We start from the raw sequence: 7,536 nt of genomic DNA on the forward strand, positions 1-7,536 counted from the left end.
CTAACCCTCTCTCCCACTGTGGTTTTCTTCTTTTTCTCTTTCTCCTCTCTCTCTTTTTGGGGAGCTTATAAAAGGGAAGGGTAACAAAAATGGACAAAAGTTAGGGCTGGCCACAGGGAGAGGTAAGAAAAGATACAGAAGGATTTCTTCATTTTTTTTCTGTCTTACAGCCCTGAGAAAGTCCCAGCTGCTTCCCTTAGTTGGATGAAAATCTTCTTCTGTAAGAATCAACAAGCTAACAATACTGCTTACTTAGAGACCTTTTTGTCTTCTGGGGAGATATCAATGGACTTTACAATTTCAATTATCTTTCATAATATTCCCTGGTGTTAGAACAAACTGCCTCCTCTGAACAAACATTCCTCTCACCAGGGTGGGAAGTTTACCAAACTTTGTGGCTCCTTTATTCCCCTCCTCCATCAGGTTGGTCCCCCTTTCAAATGACCCATCCCCCATCACCACAACTCAAAAATGTACCTGCTCAGTCCTCCTTATCCAATTTCATCCTAAGTTGGAAAGAAAATATTTTAATTGTTTCTTAGAAGTGAGGGTTTTTAATGAATTTTAGAATCAACTTGTCAATTTCTGCTGCTCTTAAAATGTATATGGAAATGCATGGGACTCATAAAAGCCAAAACAATGAAGAACAAAGTTGGTGGATTCACACTTCCCAATTTCAAAACTTACAACAAAACTACAGTAACAAAGACAGTGTGTTACTGACAGAAGGATAAACATACAGATCAATGGAACAGAATTGAGAATCACAAATAAACCCTAACAGTTACAATCAATTGATTTTCAACGAAAGAGCCAAGACAATTCAATGGGGAAAAAAAAATGGTCTTTTCAACAAGTGGTGCTGGGCAACTGGATATCCACACGCAAAAGAATTAATTTGGACCCCTAAGATTGTACACAATAATTAACTCAAAGTGAATCATAGGCCTAAATGTAGAAGCTAAAATACAGTCGCCGTGGTGCTGCTGCTCAGTGGGAGCGGGTCTTCGCAACTGTCTCCGCGTGGCGCGCGCCTCTAGCCGCCCTTCCCCTGGCGGCTACGGCTGGAGGGAGCGGAGGCGAGCGGGAGTCGGGCTCCATGGAGAGCGGCGGACAACTGGGCAGAGGCGGAGCTTTCATCTCGGCACCCTGGTTCCAGTGACCCGCGCTAGCGTCCCGTCCCGCCCGCGTCGGAGCGGCCGCCGGCCCCGGGACTGACCGGCCTCGCCGCACCTCCCGCACCGACTAGCGCTCCCGGGCGCTCCTGCGCCCGACTCGCCCTCGCCCCCACTCCCCGGCGGGGTGGCGGCGGCCGGGCCCCCACGGCGGCGGCCGGAGCAGCAGCAGCAGCAGCAGGAGCCCGCCTCTATGATGAAGTTCAAGCCCAACCAGACGCGGACCTACGACCGCGAGGGCTTCAAGAAGCGGGCGGCGTGCCTGTGCTTCCGGAGCGAGCAGGAGGACGAGGTGCTGCTGGTGAGTAGCAGCCGGTACCCAGACCAGTGGATTGTCCCAGGAGGAGGAATGGAACCCGAGGAGGAACCTGGCGGTGCTGCCGTGAGGGAAGTTTATGAGGAGGCTGGAGTCAAAGGAAAACTAGGCAGACTTCTGGGCATATTTGAGCAGAACCAAGACCGAAAGCACAGAACATATGTTTATGTTCTAACAGTCACTGAAATATTAGAAGATTGGGAAGATTCTGTTAATATTGGAAGGAAGAGAGAGTGGTTCAAAGTAGAAGATGCTATCAAAGTTCTCCAGTGTCATAAACCTGTACATGCAGAGTATCTGGAAAAGCTAAAGCTGGGTTGTTCCCCAGCCAATGGAAATTCTACAGTCCCTTCCCTTCCGGATAATAATGCCTTGTTTGTAACCGCTGCACAGACCTCTGGGTTGCCATCTAGTGTAAGATAGAGAGAACTGGGTAGGCCTCTCCCACCATGTGCAGTCTCATGGGGAGAGGCTTCTTTCGTTTCCTCGTCAAACATCTGATTGACGCTTGCAAACTGTCTGAATTTGCCATGCAAGGTTTTCAAACAATTTGCATGTTTTTCAGATGCTTTCAAATCTTTTTTTAAAAAAATAGTGTAAAATATTTTAATAAGCCAAAGCCATGTGGAATTTTTGTTTAGATGCCTTAACTGTGCCACACCCCACAACCCCCTATATTATTTTGGTTGTCTATTTCTCACAGCATATTTTCAGTTTTTTGTCCATTTGACATCAGTCTGTGGTTTATTTTGTCATCAGATTACTTGTGGGTATACCTACCCCAAAATTGTTTTCTCATTCACAGCATTAGCATATTCAGCAAATCCATCTGTGGTGGGAATTAAAAATATTATTGGTTTTAAAGAAATCCATTCACCCCAAAACTTGTTTTACAGGATTACAATTTTAATTCAAAATTTCCAGATTTGGGCTATTTCTGTATGATCCAATAACTTATTTTGTCACAGGGCTTAATTTGCCATTTTTGGGGATTTGTCGACTCATTTTGTCTGAATTTTCACAACTGGTATTATGTCACTAGCTACCTGATATGGCTATTTCCCTTATAACTCAATAGTACCTTAACACAAAGTATAACTCTGTAGAGTTGGTGAATATTTTAGGGAAATATTAGCAAAATGCATGTAGTAAAGACATCTTATGAAAACTGTATTCATGGAATTTGATTTAGCATGCTCAGTTGCCAGTTCCCATTATCGATACTCTTTCTATGCAGAATACCTTAGAACCGTTATTTCCCTCAGTGTAGATTGCTCTTAAAATGTATTCAGTTATTTAGTGGCCCCCACAGGAGTGGAGTCTTGAAATCTAATTCTAAATGCCAGTCAGTGATGATCGCATCACAGTTGAGTGAAATGGCCTTCCTGTTCAGCTGTTAGAGACTGAAGATTGTTAGGGCACCTTAGAATGTCTCATCTTTTCTAGGTTGTCAACAGGTACTATTTGTCACATAACTAACTTTCGAGGCACTGGAACATACCTGAACTAAGAATTAAGTCTTTTACTTTATACTCACTTAAAATCAAGAATCCCATCTAAAACACATAGGTACCTTATCTGAAACTCTTGCACTTCCCCAACCAGGGCAGAAATGAGGTGGGAGAAGTTTGACTAAAATGAGGGATGGGGGAAAGTAAAAGATGTTTTTTTTTTTTTTGAGACTCGCTTTGTCACCCAGGCTGGAGTGCAATGGCACAATCTCAACTCACCGCAACCTCCGCCTCCCAGGTTCAAGCGATTCTCCTGCCTCAGCCTCCCGAGTAGTTGGGATTACAGGAGCCTGCCTCCATGCCTGGCTAATTTTGTATTTTTAGTAGAGACAGGGTTTCTTCATGTTGGTCAGGCTGGTCTCAAACTCCTAACCTCGTGATCCGCCTGCCTCGACCTCCCAAAGTGCTGGTATTACAGGCATGAGCCACCATGCCCAGCCAAAGATCATTTTTTTATATAGACTTCAGCCCTTTGTAAATATTGTAACTGGGGAGTATAGAGTAGAAAAAAAGTATAGTTAAAACATTTGTTCTACAAATTAACCTTTAAAAATATAATTACTGCTAAAAATAGAGTGCTGTTACACTTAAGGAAAATTAGTGCCATTTTGGAAATGAGATCTTGTGCCATAAATACAGCTGAACTGAATATAAATGTTCACAAATTAATGCTGTCAAAGGAATGAGTAAAGCAGAAAAACTTTTAACCAGCAACATTTCAAGTACGTAGTGTGATCAAACATGATCATCCAGAATTTGTATATTTTTTTCTTTGTACAGAGGTTACATATTCTGGGTGTTCTTTTATAAAGGAAACATTTTAAATCCCACAAATTGACACTTTCTATCTTCAATGGACTAAGATTTTTTTGGTCAGTAATCTCTGAAATTTCCTTAAATTATATACTTAACATAGCAGAGAAACTGGATTGTTTTTGTATATAAGACTGCTTCCACCTGAAATGCTGTCATAAGTACTGGGGGGGTGGGGGAGTGCCCATCTTGTACATGATATTCTTAGAGGTAATAAGGTAATGATGCATGAATTTATTTTATAAACTCTTGGACTATGTATTTGACATGTAAAATATGTACAGTATTAACGTCAACCATCTCTTTAAAGTTAGCCTATAAATATTGTTGTATAATTTTCTTTGGTCAGAAACACTTGTACTGAATAGTGACACTCGGTAAGGATTTTCAGTGCCATTTAGCAAAACGTCTTTAGTCTATGCAACTAGCAAAAATCTGCATAATGCAACAACACAGTTTTCACACTTCAAATTTTACATGAGGGGTTCTTCACGATTCTCCTGGAACCCAGTCTAGCAAAATGAGAGGAAAGGCCCTAGGGAGATTTATTTCTGTTAAGTAGTTAACTCTGCTGAGTATGACAAATAGTGTCTACTATCTCAACCCTCCAAAATTTGCAGAGTGTTGGGACTGTCATTTGTGATTTTTTTTTTTTTTTTTTGGTGGGGTAGTTGAATAAAATTGGGCAGCTAAATTTTTCAGTTCCATGTGCCTCCCAAATAAAAAACAGAAAATAAGTAGTTTTTGTGAATTGACTTGCAGACAAAGTAGAAACTGTGCTGCATGATGTTATTTTGTAAACAGATGACATTTTCTGACCAGGCACATGCCATCCAATTTTCTGTCAATCACACTGTTGTATAAAGCAGCAGAACTGAAGGGGAAAAATGATTGTTGTATACACTGAATTGCTTTGCATGGTCTCATTTGAGATAATTGATGTAAGCATCCTGACTTTTTTATATTTGGAAACATCAAATAAAAATGGAAAAAATGAAAAAAAAAAAAAAAAAGAAGCTAAAATATAAAACTTTTAGAAGAAAACTAACTCTTTTGACCTGAGTTAAGCAGTAAATCTTTGTGACTTTGAGTTAGGCAGTAATTTCTTTGATGCAACATCAAGAGCACAAATAATAAAAGAGAAAAAAAGTTGATAAGTTGAACTTAATCAAAATGAAAAACTTCTGTGCTTCAAGGACACCAACAAGTGAAAGAACAGCCCCACAGAATCAGAGAGCATATTTGCAAATTATACTATCTGTTAAGGGACTAGAATATAAAAAACACAAATCAATAAGAAATGACAAATGATCTAAGTTGGGAATGGGCAAAGGATTACAAGATATTTTTCAAGAGAAAAATATGCAAATAAGCACATGAAAAGTCACTAGGAAAATATAAATCAAAAGCACAATGAGATATCAATTTTCACCCACTGGAATGGCTATAATAATATAGGCAGAAAATAATAATTGTTGGTAAGGATGTGGAGAAATTGGAAAGCTCATACACTGCTAGTGGGAAAGTAAAATGGTGTAGCCACATTGGAAAAGTTTGACAGTCCCTCTAAATGCTAAAAATAGAGTTACCATATGACCCAGCAATTCTTTTATCTTGGGAATCTACCCAAAAGCAATGAAAACATATTTCCATACAAAAACTTGTGCACAAATGTTCACAGAAACTTTATTCACAATAACCAAAAAGTAGAAACAATCCATTTGTCATCAACTGATGAACAGATAAACAAAATGTGAAATATCCATACAATGAAATATTATTTGGCAATAAAAAGGAATGAGGTACAGATAGATGCCACAATATAGATGAACCTCAAAAACATTCTGCTAAGTGAAGGAAGCCAGTCACAAAAGACCACATATTATATGATCTCATTTATATAAAATGTCCAGAATAGGCAAATCCATAGAAACCGAAAGCAGATTAGTGTTTGTCTAGGACTAGAGGGAATAAAGGGGTGGGGTATGGGAGAACAGAATTGATGAGTGACTGCTAATGAATATAAGGTTTCTTTTGGAGATGATGAAAATATTCTAAAATTAATTATGGTGACGGGTGCCCTGCTAAATAGATATACTGAAAACCATTGAATTGTACACTTTAAATGCGAATTTTATAGAATACAAATTATATCTCAGTAAAACTGTTTTTAAAAAGTGGCTTCTTGTTCACTCTTGAAAAAAGACACCTGATTGTTTGGTTCAGCACCCTCAAAAAATTTGTTCATGTAATGCATGAAGGAGCATGCTATGGGATTGGCCTAAGAAGTTGCTAGTAATAAAATCTAGAGGTTGTGAAGGCCTGGGGAAGAGAAGGAAGGAGTAAGGGATGGAGAAGGGAAATAAGGAATAAGTGAAGGGATGCACCCAGAAATGAAGGCACAATCATCTCACTGTTGAAAAACCAAGGGCAAAACAGAAAGGAAATGGGGGAGTGGAATTTGCAGATATCTTTACTGCCAACTGTGTAGAACTGGGGCTGAGGTGGTTCAAAGCAAAGCTACAAAGTAAATATTAAGAGGATAAAAACTTCACTGATTTGTTGAATATATAAGGCTTTGTACAACTCACAGCGATTATTCGTTAAAAGTATACAAGCACTGTAGTCAGTTGGAAAAAGAATTATGATTCCTGTTGCCAAATTTGTATCAAAGCAAAATTATAATGTGATCCTGCAATGAGCCAGAAAGAAACACAAAAAGTTTACTCCCCCCACCTACAAACAGAAACTGCTCCTTTATGTAACCTGAAGTTCATGTATATAGTCTTATTTGTACAGATCCTTGCATCTCAAGATGGATTAGTGTTTTTCAACATGGCAACTTTTAATTTTGTTTATTTATTTATTTTTTAATTTTAATTTTTTTTTTTTTGAGATGGAGTTTCACTCTTGTTGCCCAGGCTGGAGTGTAATGGCTCGATCTCAGCTCACTGCAACCTCTGCCTCCTGGGTTCAAGCAATTCTCCTGCCTCAGCTTCCCAAGTAGCTGGGATTACAGGAGCATGCCACCACGCCCAGTTAATTTTGTATTTTTCAGAGATGGGGTTTCACCATGTTGGTCAGGCTGGTCTTGAACTCCTAACCTCAAGTGATCCACCCGCCTCAGCCTCCCAAAGTGCTGGGATTATAGGCGTGAGCCACCACGCCCGATCTATTTATTTATTTTAAAAAATAATTTTAACTTTTATTTTAGACTCAGGAGTACATGTGCAGGTTTGTTACATGGGTATATGGCATAACACTGAGGTTTGGGGTGTGAATGATCCCCTCACCTAGATAATGAGCATAGTGACCAATAGGTAAGTATTTCAAGCTTTGTCCCCCTTCCTCCTTCCTGCCTCTAGTAGTCCCCAGTACCTATTGTTGTCATCTTTATGTCCATGAGTACCCAATGCTTAACTCCCACTTGTGAGATCTTACTAACACATTTGGTTTTCTGTTTCTGCCTTAATTCACTCAGGATAATGACCTCTAGCTCCATCCATGTTGCTACAAAGGATATGATTTCACTCATTTTTTTGACTGTGTATTATACCATGCTATGTATATACCCTATTTTAAAAAATCCAATCCACTGTTGATGAACACCTAGATTGATTCCATGTCTTTGCTATTGTGAATAGTGCTGTGATGAACATGTGAGTGCATGTGTCTTTTTGGTAGAATGGTTTATTTTCCTTTAGATATATACTCAGTAATG

General features: G+C 39.4%; 1 pseudogene across 1 annotated transcript, besides 2 other annotated features; it reads left to right on the forward strand.

Moving 5' to 3' along the window:
• Nucleotides 1-871: an enhancer, noted in NCBI's record as "OCT4-NANOG-H3K27ac-H3K4me1 hESC enhancer chr1:145140047-145140919 (GRCh37/hg19 assembly coordinates)". NCBI's record gives its function as "activates a minimal SCP1, AML or CMV promoter by ChIP-STARR-seq in naive H9 embryonic stem cells {active_cell/tissue: H9 hESC(naive)}" and the evidence as "EXISTENCE:reporter gene assay evidence [ECO:0000049][PMID:30033119]".
• Nucleotides 872-1,765: an enhancer, noted in NCBI's record as "H3K27ac-H3K4me1 hESC enhancer chr1:145139173-145140046 (GRCh37/hg19 assembly coordinates)". NCBI's record gives its function as "activates a minimal SCP1, AML or CMV promoter by ChIP-STARR-seq in naive H9 embryonic stem cells {active_cell/tissue: H9 hESC(naive)}" and the evidence as "EXISTENCE:reporter gene assay evidence [ECO:0000049][PMID:30033119]".
• On the forward strand, nt 972-4,809 carry NUDT4P2 (nudix hydrolase 4 pseudogene 2; annotated as a pseudogene). The gene has a single exon (NR_104005.1). The product of NR_104005.1 is annotated as a nudix hydrolase 4 pseudogene 2 (transcript).
• The last annotated feature ends 2,727 nt before the right edge of the window (nt 4,810-7,536 follow it).

This window comes from Homo sapiens, chromosome 1, assembly GCF_000001405.40.
Source record: "Homo sapiens chromosome 1, GRCh38.p14 Primary Assembly".
Lineage (NCBI taxonomy): Eukaryota > Metazoa > Chordata > Mammalia > Primates > Hominidae > Homo > Homo sapiens.